The sequence below is a fragment of the Homo sapiens genome, chromosome 11, assembly GCF_000001405.40.
Source record: "Homo sapiens chromosome 11, GRCh38.p14 Primary Assembly".
Lineage (NCBI taxonomy): Eukaryota > Metazoa > Chordata > Mammalia > Primates > Hominidae > Homo > Homo sapiens.
The window spans coordinates 20,920,130-20,945,647 of NC_000011.10; the positions used below are offsets into that span (position 1 = coordinate 20,920,130).

Consider the following 25,518-nt stretch of genomic DNA (forward strand, 5'->3'; position numbering starts at 1 on the left):
TAATGCTGTTGTTATGATACCAATCAGTTGTGGACATGAGTTCCAGCCTAGGGCGAAGAAAGAATTAGGTTGGGCCTAAGAGACATTATACTCTGCAAAAGAAGAATTTTAATAACAATGAAAATGATACATTAATCCTATTGTACCTGCAGCTAAGACTGCTCCCTACCATCAGCCATGGCATGTGCAAAAAAATTGGTGGGTAGATAAGTGTTTGCAAGATAAGGCTATAGTTTGGACCCATGGATTGTGCTGCTGAAGACAATGTTTCTATTTCAAACTGGGTTTTTGGCTAAGGCAAACCCCTTTTTGTCTGGAAAGGAGAGATGGAAAACTTTTGTAAGAAAACAATTGAGACTGAGGCCCAGATCTGAAGCATTAGCTTTTCGCTTCAGAGTATAGTGGGAATGTGAAACGCAGGTGATTATTTACCTTCCCAGCTTGTGTTATAGAGAGGCTTTTATTTCATATTGTCTGGAGCAGCTTGATCTCAATACTGTTAATTATATTTTAGCATGCTACCAAAGTTTTGGAACAAGAAACATGCCACTCTGTCTCAGGTGATTGTGGTTCTTCATTCTCCAGCTTCGAGGGCGTCGTTTGCTTTCTCATTCTTTCCCATTGCAGAGAATGTCATTTTTCTCTTTTTAGCCACACATCATCTAGGAGCCACAGAGAGCTCTATTCTCAAAACGTTATTGTGTAAAATGGGCCTTTGTGAGGTAGGTATTTAATTGTGGGCAGTTGCAAACAGCAAATTTTTTAATCCATCTTCTAAACCTCCCTTTGGCACTTTGGCAGATTTTTAGGTCTGTTCCTTCCAAACAGTATATAGAATTACAATTTGAAAACTGAGTACTTCCATCTTTGCTGTGTAATTTGAAATCTATGATCATCTAGAATAAGCATTGGCAAACTTTTTCTGTAAAGGACCAGCTAGTAAATTTTGGGCCTTGCAAGCCAAGAGGCAAAATCAAGGATATTATGTGTAGACTTAGTTCATTTAAGTATAATAATTTAAATTATAACTATTGAAAACTATAAGAACCATTCTTAGCTTATAGGACATACAAAAGTAAGTAGAGGGCCAGATTTGGTCCACTGGCCTTAGTTTGTCAACCATTGATCTAAAAGAAATGGAAAAGTCAGTAATACAAGCATTTACTATGTATTAGTTAAAATGCTTAAGCTTTTATATCCCCTGTCACTTTAATCTTTACCACAATCCTTTGAGCTTGCTTTAATTCATTAGTCTGCTTTACAGATGAGATGACTGAGGTCCAGGAAGGTCTGATAACTTTTCCTAAGAGAGTAGATGGCAGAGCTGGGACCTAAACTCAGGTAGTTAGATCCTGAAAGTTGAATCATGGCTGAGAAAGTTCATGGTTTGACAAGAAAGGGTTAAGAAGAGAGATAAAAGCTATAAATAGGGAGTAATATTACTCTTTCTAACCCTCACCATCCACTGGCAGGAGGATGGAGATATTACCAAGAAAGAGCAAATAAAAAAGAAAGGAAAAGAGAAATGAATGTTTGATCATTTTATTGAGCTGAACTAAAGTTTTCAGATCATACCTGTTTGGAATGAAATGTGTGAACATAGAACTTGTAGTAACTTTTCAAAGAAGAAGGTTATGGCAAGAGCAAGGTCTCTTTTTTATTGTGTGTGTTTTTTTTTTTTTTTTAAGAACAGTGTCTCTTAATGCACGCTTTTGGCTATGAGCTGCTTGTTTTCCTTGGAAATAGTGAAAATTATTTGACATTATTTACTTAAGTATTTTCAAACCAGATTGCTCAGAATCAGACTGCTACACCTAGGAAAGGCCAGGTGAAGTCTCAGGAAAGGATTCTTTAAGGATTTTCAAGGAAGATTTTTTTTTCCTTCTAGCTGGTGCCAAGGTCTGAACATGAAAGTTTTCTTTCTGTGCCTTGAGCAAGCCTCCTTCTTTTTGTTCACTCTAACACTGAGGGTATCTCATGTTAGGCCAAATCTTTATATAGGGGTTTGCTTTAAGGTACCCATCTTGGGAAGATACTTTTCCCCAACTCTGTCCCCCTATACCCTGTGCAACCATCAGGGTGGAAGCTCAGGGGCTCTACATTGCATCAAAAATCTTCAGGATGTTGTTGTCTTTGGTGCTCACTTATTTCCTGGGATCCCTGCAGTCACTTTGTTTTGGCCTCTGTGACTTTGTTTCTTCCTTTTGTATTAGCTCTGTGACAATTTTCAAAAGTTTTTATTTATATATTGAATACAGCAGTTTAGTTGGTTCAGTTGGTGAAGTCCTTCAGGGTATGTAGTCTGCCGTCTTGGTGGAGGCGAAAATGTAACTCACTTTTTTGGCAGGTGGAAGGAGATGGAGTCTGGAAATGTCAGGCAAACTTGAAGTTGAATATGGTTCGCAGATGCAAAAAGAATTCTATGGCACTAAATTTATCTGGGCCCAGTCTTTATTTTTAATTAAATAGGCCGATTGTGGCAGAATTCAGTTAATAGGGCTGGAGGTAATTTTTGGAGTTTTGATTTGAGTTGTCCAGCAGTTCCGATTAAGATGGGTAGACAGTCATATAGGTCATAGTGGAGATAGAGAATGGGCTTTAAAGTCAGGCTGATATGATTCTGAGTCACTATTTTATAATTTCCTTGGATATTTATAGCTTTGAGTAAGTTATTCGACTTGTTTCAGCATCTGTTTCCCCATATGTAAAATGGTGACAATTATTCCTGCTCTTGTAAAGATTCCGTGAGCCCAGGCAAATGAGGTTTGTTGCACGGCACACAAATGTCATTCAATAGGTGGTGGCTGCTGCTGTTTATACTCTTAAACCTAGAAAATATAGACAACCATGGTGGGATGATGGTTCCTTAGAGAAAATGGTCCTTAAGAAAATGCACATCTTCCCCAGTGACTTGAAATCACAAAGTCTGGTAGAGCCTGTGCATTGCTGTCAAGACCCTAGTCTAGGAGTCCTGGAAAACAGCAGGAAGTCCTTCCTCTTGGGTCGAGGTGGAAACCCTGGAGCCCTTCCAGAGAAGAAGCTCCGTGTATAAGCTAGAGAGGAATTGGTAGTCAAAGTCAGAACCAAACAGATGTAGATACCAGATCAGCCCAGGGGTCTGTGTAGGAGAGCTCATTGATCCTTTTCTCCTTTTAGGGTTAGGCATGCTGGCAAGTGACTGTGCCCTTGCTTGATCATGGGAGCAGCCTGCACTCACATTCAGGTGACAGAGGTCAGGGTAGATAAGAGCTCTCTTGAGGAATTCTGGCATTTTGGCAAAACTATACTTTTTTTAAGGCAGAGAAGAGATGGGGCTGCTACCTCAAGTAATAAACCTTTTTTGTCCTCCTACATTTCCCTTAGTGATCTACAAGCATCAGCCACTCCCCTGGCTTACTCTCAAGGTTCTCTCAGGTGGTTTTGACATTGTGGGAACTACCTACCTGCTGGGAACATTGTGATAGGGTCAGACTCTGTCCTGCTATCAGATCCCAACTGCACTGTAATCCCATTCTGACTTCAATCTCAGAAAGAAGAGATACTGAAGACTGGGACTTTCTTGATTACTTCTGTTTAAATATTTGACAAATCTATGTATGCAAATCAAGCGACACTTGGAGTGGCATTTAAGCTTGTGACATCTTTAATTTTGAGACTTTCATTGTTTTGAGGAATTCAATAATGATTTTTTGATTAAGCTTAAATGTTTAACAATAGAAGCTTCTTTTTTCCTTTCATATAGCAAATGCCAAGTAAATGGTATTTCAAAGAAAAGAAGCAATCCACCACACAACTAATGTACTTAGATCTGTTCATTGACCTCTGATGATAAAAAAGGCCTCTGCTGTCTATCTTTCATTATGTAGAGTTCAGAATAAATGATTTGGTCCATGGTTGCTTAGATAAATGCATAAACAAGAGGTAGACAGAATAGAGATGTAGATGTGATACCGTATCTATTTCGAATCTGCAGACAATCTTAGAGAAAGTGTCAGGTAGTATAGAAATAGCTTTTGAAAATGAATGTGTATAAATTCAGCATGCTAATACCAGTGACAGAAAATGCAATTCATTTTTTGATTCACAGTTGTTTGTCTCCTTTATTGCCGTTTTAGGATTTAGCAGGAGTAAAAGGGAAGGCAAGAGGTTACATGAAGTTCTTTGAAAAATTAGCTTTTTGCCTTAACATCCCTTTGCCTTTGTGTCTATTTGGTGTGCTCTTATTATTACAGACAATAGGACTTCTCAATGTTGTCAGAAAAGGCTACAAATATTAAAAATAAAAACCACATTCAGAAGGGAAACAAAATCAGCCTTGAGAATAGCATTCATTATATTAAAACTGACATTTTCTTTGGAATTGAGTTTTGTAGGTGAGCACAGCTCAGCTTTGTGGGACAGTGCTAGAAATTGCCACTATTTCCCTTAGGCAAGCTCCTGGATTTTAAGAAAGCTCAGATAGATATAGAGTTGCCTTTTGGGCCATTTAGTCCTTAAGAAGTTCCCTTCTTGGAGTGATATAGACACCAGAATTGTTCCAGATTTTCAGAGTAAGGCACGTATGGGTCCTCTCACAAAGGTACACAATTCTGAGACCCTTTTAGGAGGAATGCAGATCTGGTTCAACTCTGTTGTTCAATCCAAGGTCATATATCTGTTACTGCCTTGTGTAGGAACTACTGGGGCTATGGAAATGAAGTAAAGATAAGTGATAAGTTGTTACTTTCTTTCTATTGAGGTTCCACATCTGTGGATTCAACCAACCATGGACCAACAATACTCAGAAAAAAATTCCAAAAAGTTACAGAGAGTAAAACTTGAATTTTCCATGTACCGAGTACTGCATTGAATCCATGTGAATGAATTGATGTTTAGACATTGTATTACTTATTATAAGTTATCTAGAGATGACTTAAAGTGTATAGGAGGATGTGCATACGTTATATGCAAACTATACTATTTTATATAAAGGACTTGAAGATTTTCAGATTTTGGTATCTGCAAGTGGCCAAACCATATGCCATCATCCCTCAGTGTCCAAGAGTATCACCAAACTCAGCAGTGTATTTTATCCGTTTCCTAAAGCATTGCCAAATAACTTAATTATCATAGATTCTATAAACTCTATGATTAGGCTGGAGTTTTGTTGTATTAATTTATTTATTTATTGAGATGGAGTATCGCTCTGTTGCCCAGGCTGGAGTGCACTGGCATGATCTTGGCCTGCTGCAACCTCTGCCTCCCAGGTTCAAGAGATTCTCATGTCTCAGCCTCCAGAGTAGCTGGTGGTACCCGCTACCACACCCGGCTTTTTTTTTTTTTTTTTTTGTATTTGTAGTGGAGACAGGGTTTCGCCATGTTGGCTGGGTTGGTCTCAAACTCCTGACCTTGGGTCATCTGCTCGTCTTGGCCTCCCAAAGTGCTGGGATTATAGGTGTGAGTCACTGCACTTGACCTAGGCTGGAGTTTTAAATGAAACATGGATTTTTAGAAGATCATGCATATTAGAAGGAGTGATAGGAAGCTAATATTTCAGGCAGCGTCAACTCTTAGTTCTTTAGGGGCTGCTCATGGTGCATGGTGGTTGGTCTAAGATCCTATTTTTTGTTTTTTCTACCCTTTGCTACCACCCACAAAAGGCAGACAAGGGGTAAATTTTCTTGAGAAATTCCAAAAGCTTGGAGGAAGAGGATGAAATAAATGACAAAAACAAAGGTTAGAATTACATGTGGATTCCATTTCCAGAGAGTAGTTCTGGTATGAGTAAGTCAGAGGAAGGTGTATGAAATGGAACCATAGTTAATGTAGAAAGATGGTGGAAGTCATTCCCTAGGTTTATCTATTATGTCTAAAATAGTGGCTCAAAATAATCTTAGTTAGATCAAAGGTTGAATTGATCTCCTGTATGGGGAAAGTACTTAAGACATGAAAGGATAAACATGATTGAGAAGGAAAAGAGAAACTCAGATAATTTTCTAGGAAACGATACTTGTTTTTCAATCATGGTGGTCTCTATGTAAGGGAAAGGAAAGGAAGAGTAATATCACTACTAGGTTGAGTTACTCTTTCGTGTGGATGTGACAGTAGACAGATCATATCAAAGTGCTGTATTTAGGGTTTTTTTGCACCATATTTTTGAAGGTAAACTGGAGTAGGCTGTATGAAAAGTGATCAGAAGAGAGGCTTGGAATCATATCATGAGGAGCTGTTAAGGGAACCTGGTGGTGCCAAGTGTGGTCAAGACGACAGGATAACCTCAAATGCTTGAAGATTAGGTTTGCTCAGGATGGATTACAATGAAAACCTAGGTATGGCAGGAAAAAAAGAAAGATTTCACAGCCAAAACCATGAAAAATGTTTCAAACAAGAGAGCTAACTGAGAAAAGTGGCTTTCCTTGGAAGATAATACATGTTCCTCCACTGGAGATGTACAAAGGCTAGATAATCACTTGAGGTTTCTTGTGAGGATATTCAAGCTTTATAATCCCTTTCCAGCAGGAGAGTCTAAGACTCTGTGATTATTGGCAATGACTGGGTGGCCTAGAAAAATAAAAAAGGTTATTTTACAAAATTCTGATCTTACCTGGGGTTTTGGTTACTTTTCCTGTCCTTCTTCTAAGCACAAAAGTGAATTCCTGGGGCATTCTGTTTGGGGGATCCGCTTACGACTTTTCTTTTTTTCTGACCCCAGCTCTCCAGAATTTTTCATCAGACAGAAGGCAGTGACTTCCTAGTTTGTAAACCACGACATTCTAGTTAGTGTGTGAAGAACATAGAGAGGATAGTGGGAGATAAATGTAAGTGCCTCGGAGTTCCTGATTAGATCGCCTGTAAACATCATAATGAGTCCTTGAGAACACATTCATTATGAGTGTTTTTGTGTGGGCTTGAATGGAAAGCACACACATTTATGAACACCCATGAGGTTCCTGAGTTACAGTTTAATGTCTCATTTGGTATTCATTAGACCATGACAGCCAATATTTCTTCAATTTAGAGTGATTCCACCTTGTGTAAAAAAAATAAAAAAAACAAAAAACAGATAATGCTAAGAATCAGTGAACTGCTCTGAGCATTTTTTTCTCTTCTCAGAAGGATTTTTTTTCTTGTTGCTATTAGCTTTGTTAGGATGATGCAATTGAATTACAGAAATTACATTCAGTAACTCTTGTTTGCAGCTAAATTATGCAGAGACAAGACTTAGTCAATTGGAAAACTGTCATTGTGAGAAGACTTGTCAAGTGAGTGGACTGCTCTATCGAGATCAAGACTCTTGGGTAGATGGTGACCATTGCAGGAACTGCACTTGCAAAGTAAGCCTCTTTGTAAATAAATACAGTAAAAACAGTTTTAAGGGGAGAGGTTTGATAATTAGAGTGTAACCTGGTTCTTTAATAAATAATATTAACTCTGAGAATTGTTAGGTTTTTACCTAGCACCCACTAGCCATACGAGCAATTGTGAAGCAATGCTGGAAGAGTGTCATGTCTTATATGAATACTTGGAAATTAAAATCTGCTTTCCCTTGCCAACACACCCTAATTTGATTTAATAGGCAATGTTTGGAGTTTGAAGGTTGGGATATAGTGGAAAGAAGGGACTCCTTTGATTTTCAAACAACCTAATGGTTATCCTTATTCACAACCAGAATAACTTTAAAAGGGGAGTTTAATTATTTTCTACATGTTTTTATTGTCTTTTGCAAAGTGTATCCATCACCTGTTTCAAATAATTGCAAGGCATTTCCTCCCTGACTCACTGTCAGTGTGAGGATATCCATTATTTGTATATCCCTTCATCTGTTTCAGTGAATTACAACATCCCCCTCCAAAAATTAGTATGGAAACCCTGTCCAGTTGAAATTACTTGATAAATATCTGAAGAATGCCATTGTTTGTCTAGGAAAATACAAAACAGATTGTTAGAGCCTCAGAAATGATTGACAGAGTCTGCAAATGTGTTATTTATGTTCTTATAAAAATAGACTTTTTGTTTTCTGCATAATCTAGTTAGCACACATGGGCAGGTAGGATGAAACCAGTGATGTATTTCAGAAAAGTAATTGAGGTGGTACAGGTCATTCGGGCCGGAGAAAACACTTCATCTGTGGTCCTGGAGTGGACTGGGAATTCGAATACTGCTTCTGTTTCCCTGATGAGGTTTCTGGGATGAGATTTCAATGATCTCCACAACAGGAGCTATCAAAGGATACTTCTGAGATTATGTTCCATGTCCTTCCTTCCTCAGAGTGGTGCCGTGGAATGCCGAAGGATGTCCTGTCCCCCTCTCAATTGCTCCCCAGACTCCCTCCCAGTGCACATTGCTGGCCAGTGCTGTAAGGTCTGCCGACGTAAGTACTGACTGAGGGTCAGACTGGCTGTCTGTGTTTTGAGATTTATTTATTTATTTTCCCTGTTTTTCTGGACTCAACTGATTGACATTGATGAAATGAAACATTGGCAGTTGATGTAACATTAAATATATGGTAAGAAGAGCCACAATATTTTAATCACTTGCAATGTGGCAGACACTTAACATGGGCTATTTTTTTTTTTAAATCCTCACATCACCTGTAATTACTATTCTTCTTTCATTCTATGTGGAAGGAACGTGTGTTCACAGGGATTAAGTCACTTGTCCAACAAGTGGGTGAGGCTGATCTGTGAATTTACAACTCCAAAGCTCCATAGGCTTTAGTCCCCTCATTCTAAATGATCAAGTTAAAGGCCAAATTCTGTATTTTGGCTTTCTGAGGTTTTGGCTAGATTCTCCTCTTATTAAGAGGCCTTTGTTAGGAACTTCCGGATGAAATTCAGTTAAAATACTGAAGCTGTCGTTTAGAACATGTGGTATGTTCCATATACTGTGCTGGATGCTTTAAATCTACTAGCTTAGTGAATTCTCACAGCAACTCTTTAGGGAGGTATTATTATTATCCCTATTTTACAGGAAGCTGAGGCTTAGGGATATTAGCTTACGAAAATCATGAGGCTGGTGAGTGGCAGAGGTGAGACAGAAAACTAGTTCTGTTGACTACAAAGCCCATAGCCTTTTTATCAGTCCATATGGTCCTCTACAGAAAAGGAGAGTTCTGGTCAGAAATGTGTGCTATGGATAATTTTCAAGGTCATTTATTTACCAAAAGAAACACACCAATGTCAGTAGCCTTCAAAGCACAGTGGTCTATCATTCTGCCAGGAACAGCATGTCACCTATTATGACACTGAAAGTGGGAATAGCAGTGAAAGTGGGTTGCAGCAGCCCAAATAATTGTTGAACTTTTCAAAAAGGAACTTTGTAATCTTCCTTTTTTTTTTTTTTATGGTTGGCACACTGCACCCATTGCTCTGGGGGATGTACTTGGAGTTGCTCTAAAGAGAAGAACTTTCTTATTTCTGTTTCAAGAACTTTTGGAAGTCATGTCTGGCAATATAGGCAGCTCAAGTGTCTGGATATTGAATTATAGTTTGATCCCATGATGGAGAGAGTTGTTAGTAGGTACAGATTATTTGTTTTTATTCTTGACATTCTTCAGCAGAAGAAGTTGAAAAACTATTAGGGGCCAAGCACAGTGGCTCACGCTTCTAATCCCAGCACTTTGGGAGGCCGAGGCCGTCGGATCACCTGAGGTCAGGAGTTTGAGACCAGCCTGGCCAACATGGCGAAATCCCGTCTCTACTAAAAATACAAAAATTAGCTGGGTGTGGTGGTGGGCACCTGTAATTCCAGCTATTCTGGAGGCTGAGGCAGGAGAATTGCTTGAACCCGGGAGGCAGAGGTTGCAGTGAGCTGAGATCGCGCCACTGCACTCCAGCCTGGGCAACAGAGTGAGTCTGTCTCAAAAAAAAAAAAGAAAAAAAAAAAAAGGCTATTAGGGATGTATTAAAAAATGTGAGATGTTTTAGTCTATTATTTAGAGTTCCTGCATAGATCTCTGAATGCCATCTCTTGAAAGTTGTTGTTTGGACATGGAAGTAATGAGTCCTTCGGCAGGTTTGTGTCTTAACTTTTTGACGTTTTTTTAAAATTATAAAAGCACTGTGCTTTTGGCTTAACATTTTGAAAACACAGAGAATCATAAAGATCAAGATGGAAAGTTCACCCATAATAGCTCCACTTAGAAACACTCTTGAAATTTTAGTGGATGTGTCCTTTTTTTAAGAAAAATTACATTTTGTGTGCAGTTGAGGTTGTATTGTGTGGGCAATTTTTTATTCTAGTCTGTTAACTTGCCATTGTCACTTAAATATATTATTATGTTTTAAAAACTTCTGCATAAATGTCATTTTCATGAGCTTCATTGTTTCCCATTGTTTGGCTGTTGCATAACTTTTTTTTAACCAGTCCCAAGTCATTGATATCTAGATTGTTTCCCACTTTTCACTATTATAAAGCACGCTTAAATAACATGTTTTGTATAGAAAACACATTTTTGTATATTTTTGTATTTTATATTTCCTGAAAATAGAATTCTTCAGGCCAGAATTACTGGGCCAAAGATGAACATTTTCAAGGCCCTGGATACATACAGTTAAATTGCCCTCTCACTAGACGTGTGTGGGACGGTCATTTTTCTTTGTGCTAATTTGTTTGATAGTTTTAGGTTTTTAAAATTATTTCAGAAAATAACTCAATTTTATTAAAATGTTGATACACACACTAACTAAAACATCAGTTTTTTTTTTTTTTTTCCCTTTGCATGGAATTCATAGCAATTTAGTTAGGTAGCACTAATTTTCTCACAGCTCTGATTGGTAGTTTGATGTGTTCAGAGTTTAATAAAGTGGGAATACAAATAAATTATTAAAACACTATTCTAGACAAACTTAAAAAGAAATGATACAAGGCACCTCTGGTAATTAAAAGGTTGAGAACTTCTGGGCTGGAGGGCTTTCATTTCTCACTAGTTTTTAATAGAAATATGCATTAGGTGATTACTGAGTACTGATGCCTGGAATAATGATGAGGGATCCTTCCCTGCTTTAGAGGAGCTCACTTTCAAGGTAGAGACGTGGTTTACAGTGTCTGGAACTGTAAGTGCACTAACATTAGGCATGTGTTGGAGTACAGAAGAATGGCCTGGGAGGGAGGGGGAGAATACCGGGGGAAGGCCTGGGATGCTTCCCGGAGGACATGGAGCCAAGTTAAATATTTTGAACCTTCTAGAAGTTGACTTTTGTGGGTTAAGCAGTGGGGTGGAGAAGAAGAGAATGAGGATTGCTAGAGCAGAGTTCTAACACTAATCAGTGGAATTTCTAGATGTTTCCAATGTCTTCACATCAGAAACATGGTAGAGTATATTTACTTTGGTTGTCCCTTTTAAATATAAGTATGTGAGGTAATGCATATGTTAGTTAGTTCTTAGCCATACCACAGTGCCTACGTATTTCAAAATATCATGCTGTAGACCGTAAATATGCATACCTTTTGTCAGTTAAAAAATAATAATAAAATATAAAAAAAGACAAAGAAAAAATTGTATCTTGTATGAATAACTTATAGTCAAATCTTGTTTTTTAATCCAGTCTGACAGTCTGGATTGTATTGTTTGGATTGGATCATTTAATCCATTCACATTTAATGTTGTGAGGGATATAAGTGAAACTACTGTTTCCTGAATACCATGTTTTTCCTTGGTTTGGTTCCTTATTTTGATTTTTTTTCATTTTTTTTGTGGAGCTGCCTGAAGTAAATTTCTTATATGTGAATTTAAAGAAAAATTCCCAAGCTTCTCTCTGACTTTAGGTGGGGTAGTATTCTAGGGACACCAGGTAAAGGTAGGGCTATGACAAAGGCAAAATGAGCCAATATGTAAAAGCAGATTGTGTTGTCTGCTCACTCACTGAGTGTTCACGGACTTCTCTTGGCCTTGGGAACTGCAGCACTTACAGATGAGGGCGTCTGTTTGGAAATAGGGAAGAAATTTATCTAAGCATCCATGGCGGTACCGAAAATAGTGAGGGAGTTTCATTCCTCAAACACTTGTTGGGTGTCTGCACTATTCAAGGCATATTTAATATACCTATTTGCACATTAAAATCCTTTGGTGAACTTCTTAAACTTGGAGGTTTCCAGGGCTCCACCTAGACCTACATAATCACAATCTCCAGGCATCAACATCCTGAAATCTGTATTATTTTGGTAGACAGATTTGAGATCTACCAGAGATAGGAAGGAGGGAGGAAGATGGAGAAAAAAATATTTCTTCTATGCAAAACAGTATGTGTGAAGGAATAAGAGTGAAAGAGGGAAAGGGGAATAGTGTGTTTGATGATAACACAGGATTTATGTAGGTGAGAGGTTGAAATAGAGCTGCAAACGTGAGTTGCGGATGGATGATGAAGATTGTATCCCAATGAAGCCATTCAGTAATCCCTACCGAGGTCCTTCTGCCAAACACTTTGTCAGTTCTGGGGGCAACAGTGGACACGTATGGATCATTTACTCTGACAGGCACTGTGTTTAACCATTTTATATGTATTCATTTAATTCTTCCAACAACTTTAAGTGGTAGGGTCCGCTATTATCCCCATTTTACACATGAGGAGGTGAAACAGAGAGGAGAAGTAACTTGTCCAAGGTCTCCCAGTTTTGGGGGAGCCAAAATAAAGCCCTGGCAGTCTGGCTTCAGAACCCAGTGGGATGCTCTTGACCTGTTGGCTCTAACCATTGTTCTCCAGAGAGATCTCTGTTACAATAAAGAATATTATTTCACATGAACACTATGGAAGACACAGAAGTCACACAGAGAAGGGAGTGATTAACTCCATCTGAAATGTACATATGTATGTGTGTGTTAGGAAAACGTCATAGGTAACAGCTGAGCGGGGTATTGACAAATGAAGAGGAGTTTTCCAAGTGTACAAAGTAGGTAAGAACATAACTGCCAGAGGGAATTGCATACACAAAATCATGGAAATAAACCAGTGTTGGTTTTGGTACTGCAATCAAGGTTTTAATGCAGAGTTGTGGCATAATCAAAGATGTGCTTTTAGAAAGGCTACTGCATCAAGAGAGCTGGAGGTGGTGGGGGATATGGGACTTGGGCATATTCCAGGTGGAGGTGTTGAGGCTGGCAGGCAGGCACAGCCTGGGAAGATGCAAAGGAAGGGAAGGATGTGGGTGACAGCCAAAGGAGCTGGCACATTAGAGATACTCCACAGGTATTGTTTTGCATGAGACAAATGGATCAGGGACAGAGCGTCTGTAAGGGAGAAATTGCCAGGTTTTGAACAAGAGCCTGTGGGAGACTCACGGTGTGATTAACAGAAATAAGACAGGTGGAGAAAGCAGTATGGGGAGCAATACATTCCGTTTGACATGTTTGAGTTAGAGATGCCTGAGGTACAACTAGTTTGATGTGGGTGTCTTGCTCATAGAGGTGGTATCTGAAGCCAAGGCTGTGAATTAGCTCACTGAGGGAGGAAGGATCTTTGGGTGTTCAGTCTCTCTGATCTGCCACTCTCCTTTAAAGTGTAAAACAGTGTGCTGATTTTGACATTCTAGGCCGCTGAGTACCAAGGGATGGCTGGAGTGTGTGCAGGGTACAAATACCTAAATAAAGATAGGGAAACCTTGTATCCACATCTGACAGGGATGTCAAGCTGTACTTGTCAATTGTTTATTCAGTGTGCACCCAAATGGCAAAATTGTCCAATCATTGCACCAGAAAAATCAAGGTCAAAATTGAAGGGCCAGGTGTCTGTCGGTGCAAAAAGATACAGCTGCATAACTCTTTATATCCTCAGTACATTTTGTTTCTGACATAATGGAGAAGTGTGTGTTGGTGCTAGGTTTCAATTTTGTGTTTGGGCACTGTGAAATATTCTAGTTTGCATGTCACCAGTGTGATATGAAGAGCTTTAGGTATCCATTTACATTTCTAATCACCCTGAAAGATGTTCGAATGGAGTCCCAAATGCCCCAGCCAAACGCACCAGAGCCTGACTCACCTTATGCTTGAATTTCCTCAGACATAAAAAATAAGCCTTTTGGCTATAGATCAAGAGGTTGGATAATAAGGGCTGATATTAGGCATAGGAATGCAGTGGCAGGGAAGGAGGGCTGTTGTCAGAGAAGTGAGGATGAGTATGAGAAAGCAGGAGAAATTCTTGTGACCTCCAGTGGTGATCCTGAAAGTCATCCTAAGATAATTTCATAGATACATACATTCTGCACTAGTGCCAAATTGCAGATGGTTGAGGCGTGCAGTAATATGTTGATCTCATTCACCAGCACCAAAGCACCCTGCTATGTGAGTACATAAAGTTCAGTGGACATTTAATTTTTATAAGAGACTGGTGGATTCGAGGGGTGGATGTGTCTCCATGTGTGGTGTGAATGTAAACAATGAGGCATTTTTATCTCCAGATTAGGAGTTTTGGGATGAGCCTGTCAAAGGGGAAGAGAGGATTTGGACAAGTGCCTTAAGGCAGGTGATCAAATGTGTTAATACCATTGTGGGAGTGGCAAGGGGCAAAGGAAGAAAAAATGTCTATTTCTTCGCTTCACAGCTTGGGCCAAGAAGCAGATGGCAGATTTGACAACAGTGCACTTAGCAGAACTGTCACTTTGGAACAAGCTGCCTTGCCAAGTTGGCAGCAGGCACATTTGGGAGTGTGGGAATTTATTAGACAGGAATTCCAGACCTTGGAGGTGTGGTCTCTCCATGCAAGTACACTGGGAAATCTAGCTCTCATTAGGACCAACGAGTCATGGTCAACTGATTTATCTACAAAATTGAGGCATAAAAGATGATCAGGGATAGATTTTTGTTTACTGAAGGGAGGAAAGGACCTATCCAGACAATTATATTAATTCTCCATTTTTTTGGTCTCTACTTCTAATGTTTGAAGTTGTATTGAATGCCAGAAATAACTCTTATCTGTGGATCAAGAAATTTGACTGTTTTTTGCCACCTACTAGAGGCTCATTAATTGGAAAATTATTATTACTCTCAATAAATCCTAAGGCATGGGGCTTTGGGCTGGAGATAAAATTATAGACATTTTCCCTACCCTCATGGGGGTTGCAATTAGCAGCAGGGACATGGTGGGGTGTACAATTAAATGGGAAATTAGGATGTCATGTGATATATATTCTGTTGGGATTAGGTTCAAAGTACAATAGAATAAAAAAGTGAGGACGATTAACCAGTGTTAAAGGGTAAGAACAAGTTCTGAGGGAAGTCAGCCCTAAGCGGAAGCTCATGGGTGTATAGGGTGGGAGGCTGCCAGTGGAAGGTGGATGGGGTGCTCTGCACGTGTTTCTGAGAAAGAGAACGGTATATGTAAGGCCCGGAAGTGAGAGATAAAGCATGGCTAGAACATATGTGGAGGTGTGGATGTTTTGTAGGGTGAATGAAATCACGGGAAATGGTGGGCTGTGAACCTTGGGAGATAAGAAGCCTCATGAATGGCCTTGTTTGCTGAACTAAGGATTTTGGACTTTATTCTGAGAGCTTTAGGGACCCTGATTTCAAGCAGGGCCTCATGTTTGCACTTAAAAAATATGTGTCTGACTGTTTTATGGGGAAGGACTGGTGAAGATTGAGACTAGAACATGAGAGAGCTAGGAAGTTGTGGTGGTACTGAAGAAGAGGGATGACGACAGCCTGAACAAAGACAGTGTCTGGGGGCAGAGGGTGAGGAATGGAGAGGAGGAGGTTGACTTGAGAAACTTAAGAAGGGGACATTGATAGGATTTGGACACTGATTGGACATGGAGTTGTGTAAGAGGGAGAGGTTAGAAGGTTGCCAGGCACTAGGGTGTGGGAGCTGGGATGGATACCCATGCCATTGCCATTCACTGAGAGGAGAATACAGGAGTGGAACATATTTGGGTGGGGAGTGAGGTTGCTGCAGGTCAGGTTCTGAGGGGAAACAGACTTTGACATAGAGATTTACATGTACTTTATTAGGAAGTGCTCTCAGGATCAATTCTGGGATAGGAATGAGGTGGTGAAGGAAGAAGAATTGGGCAGAAGGAGAAGTTAAGCTGCAGTGGTTACAGCAAATGCCGAACTCATTCCTACAGGGAGCTTTGGAGCTGGAATGGCCCTTCGGAGTTGTCCTCAGTTGGAGAAAGGGGGCCAGGACTGTGTACCATGTTCACCCATCAAGAGAACTTCACCTTGGGCAAGGTGGCTCTCTACAGCCCTATACAAGTCTTAGATCTCCATTCAGGGGAGAGCCGTTAGTTGCCAACTGTCACAGCAGTTGTAAGAATGTATCCTTTGCTCATGGAAGTGGATCTCCATGTACCACAGCATCCACTACAGGGTATGACGTTAACTTAGGCATGTCCCTGGACTTTCTTCTTCCTGTGGCTAAAATGGACTAGATGACTACTGTTTGTTTTATTGGAAGGGAGGAATGAAAGCCCCATTTCTCACCTGGTCATCCTCTTTGCCTTTCAGATCTTGCCCCTCAACATCGAAGGGGGTCTAGGTTCTTTATCTGCAAACACAGCACTTGCCTCACTTAGTAATTATACATTCACTGATGTTATTATGTAATTACTGTCTATTTCCCTGATTGTAAGCTCCATGAGAAGAAAGCTTTGGTTCTTGCAACACTATATTACCAGTTAGCATGTTGCCTGCCCTTTAGTAACACTAGAATATTATTTGAATGAAGAATAACTGAGCATCCCGTGAGAATCAGAGGGTTTTATAACTAGTAAACCACCAGATTTAATCAGCCCATTTTTAGCAGATACAGATATAGAGGCTCTGAAAGGTGAGGTGGTTCTATAAGACCAACACCGAATTAGTGGGTGAGATCTCTTAGAGTGCGTATTATTGCTTCTGTTCCTCCTAGAGCTGGGGCTAGAAGGGTCCTCATCAGGGCAGGAGAGGGAGTGACCAGATACTTGCTTCTTTTTTTCCTGTTGAAGTGGATGGAGAATTTGGTGGTGTTATATTAGGATCATATCAAATTGACATATGCTGTACTTGCTTAAAAGTGAGTCAGCCAGTTAAGTCAAGAAATGAGTTTCAGTGCAATCTAAATTGAGTGGTAGGAGCTCCGTTTATGTTTCTCTTTGAAATTTTCTACAAGTTCACCCCCGCTGCCCTTCCTGGCAGCCTTTTGAACTCACCTTTCCAAAGGCATTCTCTCTAGTGCATTGATCTAGCACTTTACAGGCTTTCCTTGTATTTCTCACTTGTCTCACATGTGTATTTCTCACGCCCACTCCCATGATCACAAGGAAGAAGAAATGGTGTCCTTCTCCATTGTGGCTGAGGTTCTGAGGAATGGAATATATGTGAGTCCCCTTTCACCCAGTTCATTTTAGCTGGAGTGTCTGAATCAAAGCTACTGCTAACTGTACTCCACAGCGATTGCCACCAGTTCTTTCTTGTTTTAGCTTCTTACTACATCAGTTCATTCTCTAGTTCCTTTGGCAACTGTAACATTGAAATAATTGTATATCCTGGCTGTAAAGGCCAGGCAAACACAATCATGATGAGGTCTGCCTGGGAGATTTAAGGGTTATCCTCCACACAATTCCTTTCACTTTAGACAAAGAGATTTGTATTGCTCAGAAGCAGAGAATCTAGGTTTCTGTGGAATCTATTGGAGTTAGAAGGTACCTCTGAGGTCATTTTGTGGCACAGCAGGACTGTCTGACCCATTTTTATGTTTTATTACAGCAAAATGTATCTATGGAGGAAAAGTTCTTGCAGAAGGCCAGCGGATTTTAACCAAGAGCTGTCGGGAATGCCGAGTAAGTGTTAATTTTATGGTCCCTATCACTTCTGGAAAATGAATAGATAGATGTGTGGGCTTTAGATGAGGTTCTTGAGTGGGGCATATTGGCCTGGATAGGGCCCCGAGGGGTGGAACTCTCTGCGGTGGGTTGGATTACATGATGGCGAGGATCCAGCCAGGCCATTTATGTGGTTAGCTTGTGGTCAGCTGTGGATCAGGTAGCCTTGGAAGAAGCTATTAAGGCAAGGATGTGAGAGGAGAAAGAACTAACAGCTGTTATTAGTTAGGGAGGCTGGTGGGTGGCCCTGCGAAAGGGTTTTGAGTTGGTATTAGGGGAATCAGTCTGTAATGCTAGTTATGATAATACTAACTCTACTCCCAGAGGGCTGATATACTGTTAAAAATGCCTCTTCCTCCTGCCTGCCCCTCCCATGCATTACTTGAAATAAGATGTATAAGATCATAGATCTCATTCAATAATCATTCGACAAAAATGCATTAAGCAAATGCTGTATGACAGCATTATAGTAGGTTCTGGATATACAACAGTGAACAAAACAAAGTCACTGTCTTTATAGAACTTGCAGTCTAGTGAGGGAGAGAGACAGTAAGAATTAAACAAACGTATAATATAATGCCAAATTCTATAAAAGTATGAAGTAGGCTGAAGGAATAGAGAGGTCTGAGTTGGGGATGGGTGGACTGAGAAGATCTCTCTGAGATGTAATTTTGTTCCAAAATTACATTTTGGGTAAGGTGTGGGAGCCAGCCATGCAGGTATTTGGGTGAGTGATTACTTAACCAATAATTGCTTCCTAGGTAGATGAGGGAGAAGGCACGTTCCAAACAGAAGGAATTGCACTTATAAATGCCTAAAGCAATAAAGGGAGCAGGTTTTACTTAGGGACCTGCAAATAATTTGACTTGGGTGAAGTTCTAGAGCTCATGTGGGAGAGTGATGAGAGATGAACCTGGACAGTTAGACAGAACAGGTGACAATGGACCTAGTTTGGACTTGATCTTAATGGAGATGAGAATTCATTGAAGCTCTCTCTTCTCTCTCTGTCTCTCTCTCTCTCTCTCTCTCTCTCTCTCTCTGTGTGTGTGTGTGTGTGTGTGTGCATGCACGTGTGTATGTCACGAGCAGCTGTGCATTTCCAAAGGTCACTGTGATTGCAATGGGAGGAGTGATTGGAGGAGCACCAGATTAATTTGAATAATTGTAAGAAATGACCTAAGGTTATGATTGAAGGCAGTGATAGTGAAGATGTACAGGAAAAGAGATTCAAGAGCTATTTAAAAAATGGAATTGAAAGGACTCGAGTGATTGGGTTTGGGGAAGGCTAATATGATGGAGAGGAGAAACCCAGATGATGTCCAGGTTCCTGGTAGAGTTGCAGGGAATACCAGTTTCTGTTTTCCCAAGTAGCCAAAACCTCCCCTGGCTAACGTAGGTAAAAATGACAATGTTATTGAAATGATATTGGGGGACTCACAGAATCCTCAGAAGGCCAGACCAGGCTTGATACTAGATAGAGACCAAAGAGTCCCAGAAGTTAGGAAGCAGAAACCATAGCAATGACCTAGTAGCGGGGATCCCGGCAAGCACATTGCTGCTGTGATGAGTGACTTTCAATCATTTCTACTGTCCTGGAGTCACTTATACAAGATTTAAAGTTTGGAGAAAGGACATATGATTAGCAAAGTTTGGATCATATGTCCAAGCTCTGATTGTTCAGGATGGGGAAGAATTCGACCCCTTTATCCTCTGTGTAAGGAGCCAGTTACCTGGAATTATCACCCCATTAAGACAGCATGCAATGGAGAAAAAATTCCCCAAGAGAACACTGTGGTACTCATGGGAAGGGAGACTGGATCAGAAGAAGCCAAAATGTGATAAATGCTCTCTTCATTAGGTGATGACGAGATACTGGTGCAGGAAGAGGAACATTCAGGAGGAGGAACATGTTTTGTGGGTGAGGAGGGAGTGAAGAGCAAATGGGGCCAGGTTTAGGCATGTTGAGTTTGATTGTACTTTGGCTATCTACACAAACTCTCTAAAACTTAGTATTTTAGGATTATTTCTGTATTTTATGATTATTTCTCATGGTTGCATGGGTTGAATGGGCTCAGCTTAATGATTCTCACTTGGGTTCGCACATGCAATTGCAATCTGGTGGCTGCTGCAGCTAGAATCCTATGAAGGCTTGACATGGCTGGCTATCAAAGATGGCTTCTTTACTTTTCTGTCTAGCACCTCAACAAAGATGAATAGAAAGAGACTTCTCTCTGTGTCTCTGTCTGGTGTGCTCGCTCTCTCTCTCCCTCCCTTCCTCCCTCCCTCCGTCCCTCTCTCTCTCTCTCTGTATGTGTGTGAGTGTGCCTTGTTCTCTGCAACCCCTAGACATGGCTACCTTGGGCTTCTTTTTTTTTTTAGACCGGGTCTCGCTCTGTCTCCCAGGCTGGAGTGCAGTAGCACAATCTCGGCTCACTGCAACCTCTGCCTCCCAGGTTCAAGCAATTCTTCTGCCTTAGCCTCCTGAGTAGCTGGAATTAAGAGCTGCGCCACCACACCCAGCTAATTTTTGTATTTTTAGTAGAGACGGGTTGTTGGCCAGGCTGGTCTTGAACTCCTAATCTCATGATCCACCTGCCTCGGCCTCCCAAAGTGGTGGGATTACAGGTGTGAGCCACTGCACCTGGCCCCTTGGGCTTCTTTGTACCATGGTGGTCTCAGGGATTTCTCACATGCTGGCCAGCTTCTCCCAGAATAAGCTTTCCAAAGACCAAGGTGAAAGCGCCAGTATTTCTTATAAACTGGTCTCCGAAACGGGAACATCATTCTGCATTCTAAAGGCTATAGAGGCCCAGGCCAGATTTATTGTAGAGGCAGACAATACAAGGGCATGAATACCAGGAGGCATGATTCATTAGGTAGACAGGCATCTTTGGAGACCAGCTGTCATAATAAGACTTTGTGATATAATTTTCTACTTAAAAATACCCACCTCCAGCCAGGCGTGGTGGCTTATGCCTGTAATCCCAGCACTTTTGAGAGGCTGAGGTGGGCAGATCATCTGAGGTCAGGAGTTCAAGACCAGTCTGGACAACATGGTGAAACTCTGTCTCTCCCAAAAATACAAAAATTAGCTGGGCATGATGGTGCATGCCTGTAATCCCAGCTACTCGGGAGGCAGAGGCAGGAGAATTGCTTGAACCCGGGAGGCGGAGGTTGCAGTGAGCTGAGATTGTGCCACTGCACTACAGCCTGGGCGACAGAGTGAGACGCCATCTCAAAAAAAAGTAAAACAAAACAAAACAAAACCCACCTCCAACATATCATAATGGGAAGTTACTAAACTAATAGGTTAGTGGATTTCCATGGCTGGAAAACATTAGGAATCAGAGAATTCCTTTAATTGGGTGAAAATCTACCCCCCTGTAACTTCTGTCCAGTGGCTTTACTTCTTCCCTCTGGAGGATAAGAGGGTGAGTCTAATTACTCTTACAATATAGCATTGTGGTTGAAAGGTCAAAATCTGCAGTCAGGTGGATCTGGGTTTAAATCCTGAAATTTTACCTAGCTGTTAGTGAAGTTCAGAGTTCCTTGCGTTCTTTTCCCCCATTGGGTTCCAGTAAGAGCTGGGTTGGAGAACATAACTTGAGATTATTACTTCCTCCTACATGATATTTTTTTTTCTCCTCACCATTCCCACTGCAACATAACGGAAGACAATTATAGGCATAATCACCAGCCCTGGAGGAATGTGGAACATTTTGCCTAGTGCCTTGTGCCGAACTGTCAAACCTATTCCTTTTCTGCCTAACATTAGCTGGGACACACTAGTCAGAATAGCAACACTTCTTACCTATCTGATCCTGATTTCTAGAAAATAGAACGCGAGGCCTAGGTATTTGTGTTGATGCTTTATTTATTTATTCTTTGGTGGTCATGGGCGTGGATAGAGGAAGGGGAAGGGTATAGTCCTAGGAATGCAAGAGTGAGGCACAGACAGAAGGAAGTATGGAAGGAAAGGCAGGAGAGCAAGTACAAGATGGTGCATCACAGAAAAGTCAGAACCCCACAACAAAGCACAGCTGGCTTTGTGAGGCATCTCCTGAGAAGGTGACAGAAATCACTGTGTCTCAGAAAAGACCATCCTCGCAAGTGCTCTTACTTACATTGTTTCATTTTCTTTTCAACACACCTCTTGGAAAAAAGACAGGAATGTGTTTTAAAGATTGAAAAGAATGAGGCATTTAGAGACTTTGCAGAAGCACTCAAGGAGATACTAATACAAGAAGAGCTTGAATTTTGTTCTTTATGGAGAGCTGGGAAGGAAAGACATTCCCTATATTCTGTCTCTCATTGGCCAGACTGTACCCTAAAGGTTAGCTTCCTTGAACCTCCCTATTTTGATTCCCATTCTTGCCCTCTTGGCTGCTGCTGGGAATGCCAGAGATTCCATGAGTCCAGGTGGTCTGGTGGGCATGCAGGTGTGGTGGTCTCTCTGCATCAGTGGGTACTGGGTGTAGGGGCTCTCCACTCTGTGGCAGGGGCAAGGATGGTGTGACAACAAGGGCTTTAATGATCTCTTGACTGACAAGGAGGCTCCCAGGGTTGGGAGTAGGGGAGTAGGGGAGTAGGGGAGCAGGTGGGGTGGTCAATAACCTATAGCTGGCACATTATCACACAAGGATGTTGTGTAGATTAAATGAGATAAAACACATGGAGAACTTAGTAGAGTGCTTACCACAAAGACCATCCTCAATAAATGTGAGCTATTTTTGTTATTCCATATGACCATACATGTCCTTCTTGAATTTAAGACAGATACCATTCTCTCTGAACATTGTTTTACTTCTAGGAAGGGAAAACAGTTGGATTCTAAAATTGTTGCTTTTGTCTTTGACTTCAGGGAAAGCTGGGATGATTAAAGGCAATTTTGCTCACTGTGGTGATGGTCCCAGAATCAGCCATAACACTTAAAATTAGCAAATCCTTTTCCATTTTGAATGGAAGCTGTGGGTGACTCTAGCAAGGGTCACTATTATGATTCAATGTCTATTATCAAAGAGGAGCCAGGCAGACACCATTTGAGACCTTTAGAAGATATGGGCATGGATTTGAATGCCAGCTTATTTAAATATCACTTACTACTATTACTGGCACATTGCAGTTGCTCTACACACTTGGGTTCATCTTTTACTGTTTTTTTTTTTTTTAATAATTTAGAAAGAAGTTGGGGCAGACAGATTATTCTCTTGCACAGGTAGTGTGTGTGTGCATGTGTGAGTGCATGTGAATAATTTTATTCTGTGCAAAAAAGTTATTTTTCCATTTATTGTCTTTCTATAGTTATTTACTAATTACTTTGTATACAAGAAAGAGTTATTGACAATAATTTTTAATATTTCTTGAGCACTTATTATCTTCCAGGCACAATTTAAAGCATCTAAAACATATTTATCTCGGCCGGGCATGCGGGTCAGCACTTTGGGAGGCTGAGGTGGGTGGATCACGAGGTCAGGAGATTGAGACCATCTTGGCCAACATGGTAAAACCCTGTCTCTACTAAAATACAAAAAATTAGCCGGGCATGGTGGCACATGCCTGTAATCCCAGCTACTTGGGAGGCTGAGGCAGGGGAATCGCTTGAACCCAGGAGGCGGAGGTGGCAGTGAGCTGAGATTGCGCCACTGCACTCCAGCCTAGTGACAGTACAAGACCCCATTTCAAAAAAAAAACCCAACAAAACAAAAAACCATATTTATCTCACTGAAACCTCATAATAATTCTGTGCAGAAGGTAATACCCAGATGTGAAAATCGAGGCACAGAAGAACAAGGCCACATAGGTAGTGAGTGAGCCAGCTGGGATCAGAACCTGTGTGGTTTGGCCCCACAGTCTCCTCTCTTAGCCTGTCTACTGCCACTCCTGTTATTGTTAGACTGACTTGGAAATAATTCTCAATTCTGAATTTTAGAGGGGTAGATTGAGAAGGATTGTTTGATCATTTTTCAGTCTATCTGAGAATATCAGATTGGTCAGGCTATGGCCCATTGATTCCCTTGATAAAGGTAGCATTTATAAAAGGCCATGGAAGAGCTTTGGGACATAGTTAATGGATATTGTCAGCAGAGAGTGAGGGTAATGGGTATAGGATCAAAGGGCCTCTTATTTCTCCCAGGCAGCTTTTCTCAAGATGTAAGCACTAATGCCCTATGGAATCTGTTGTATGCAATAAATTAAACTTCCTCTTAGGCATCTAAAATGGTATTATGAAGTATTATCCTTGGGAGGACTAAGGAAATAATTGCTAAAATAATTTTTGATATTCTGTCATTCAGTTGACAAAAGGATGCCTGGAGATCCACCCATTTTCATTTTCCTGGGATCATTTTAAAGCTTCAGCAACACCAATTAGTCAAAAAACAAACTCTTGTTTCAAATATTTTCACCAAGTGTTTCCAGGAATTAACATAATTTTTAAAAAAAAATCAACATGAATAAACTCTCCTAGCAGTCTTATTAATTTTGCCCAATTATTGCTTTTCTGCAGAATTTCTTTATCCTAGCAACAATTTTTTACTTGAAGTTGTAAGTTTTATATGTTGTTAGAAATTCAGGTTAGTGCACAATGGTTAGTACAGAACTTGAAAGTGTATGTATTTGACCAATGACATGGAGAAAGCCACTCTAAATGAGAAAGAAAAAAGGAATTGTATTTTTCCACCAGCGCAGAACTCCAGGGGTCATAAAATAACATACTATAATCAGAAAGACTTAAAATGTTAATTATCAGGTACTTCTTACTAGAGATAGGTTTGAAAATAAAGCTATAAAAGGTTTGTGCCTAATTATGTAGCTGGATTAAATGGATTTGGTGGCACTTATGCAATGGTAATCACAGTTCATATTATTTTTCAAATTCATGCAAAAAGGTTTGTCTCCATTTAAATATTTGGGATTATGATCTTACTCATTAAATATGTTAAAGGTTGATTAGAACTGGTGACTGATTTAATCAGCGAAGCAAACCCTTTTTATAAAAATAGAAGATTTGTGAATGATTATTTTTAAAAAATCTTCTGTAGCATTTTTAATATTTTGTTTTTACAAAAATATATACTTATACAATTTGGAATATAGAGGGGAAAATGTAAGGAAGAAAATGGGAATCACTCCCGAATCTCACCACCTAGAGATAATCTTTTAACAGTTTGATTTTTGACAGCAAGAGTGAAATTTATTTTAATTGTCTTAGTTTGGGTTCTCCCAGAAGCGAACCCTGAGCTAAGGATTTCAGTACAAGTGATTTATTAAGGTAGTGCCCCCAGGAGAAACCAGTGAGGGTGTGGGGGATGCCAGATGGAGAAGGGGAAGAAACTGAGAAGAGGTACAATTTTAGATGAAAGGTCAAACATACCGTAATCCCACCATGGGCTCTGGAGCATACATTTTACCCTAGAGATTGTCTCTCTTCGAGGTAAAGAATATCCCATACCATTCATTCACTGGCTTTGGGTCATACGCATGGGAGTTGTAGAACTTGCATGTAACTTCCGGCTCTCTGCATGGGCAAAATGGCTCCATTGCCCAAGGGCAGTGCTCTGAGAGTGACAGAGGTGAGCCAGTTGCAGCAAAGCATTGATAAACCTAGAGGTGCGCACATAGAGCTGACAAAAGGATTCAACAGTGTCAGCCACTCTTATTTATGCCAGGAGGCAGCAGATCATGAATAAATATATTAATATTGAAGGATAGACTTAGAGGCAATAATGGTAAGTAATTCAGCATTGT

General features: G+C 40.4%; 1 protein-coding gene and 1 long non-coding RNA gene across 5 annotated transcripts in view; one reads left to right on the forward strand and one right to left on the reverse strand.

The window, feature by feature from the left end:
* The window catches only part of LOC105376585 (uncharacterized), a 46,166-nt gene extending 39,499 nt beyond the window's left edge, over positions 1-6,667 (reverse strand). The window contains exon 1 of the long non-coding RNA XR_931106.3: positions 6,584-6,667. This is a non-coding gene — a long non-coding RNA (uncharacterized LOC105376585). The remainder of the gene's footprint in view (positions 1-6,583) is intronic.
* Positions 1-25,518, forward strand: part of NELL1 (neural EGFL like 1) — a 906,136-nt gene that overhangs the window by 250,579 nt on the left and 630,039 nt on the right. For all 4 annotated transcript variants that reach the window (NM_001288713.1, NM_201551.2, NM_001288714.1 and 1 more), the window contains 3 exons: positions 7,179-7,313; positions 8,248-8,350; positions 17,657-17,730. In NM_001288713.1, the coding sequence (NP_001275642.1) occupies positions 7,179-7,313; positions 8,248-8,350; positions 17,657-17,730 (312 nt within the window). The remainder of the gene's footprint in view (positions 1-7,178; positions 7,314-8,247; positions 8,351-17,656; positions 17,731-25,518) is intronic.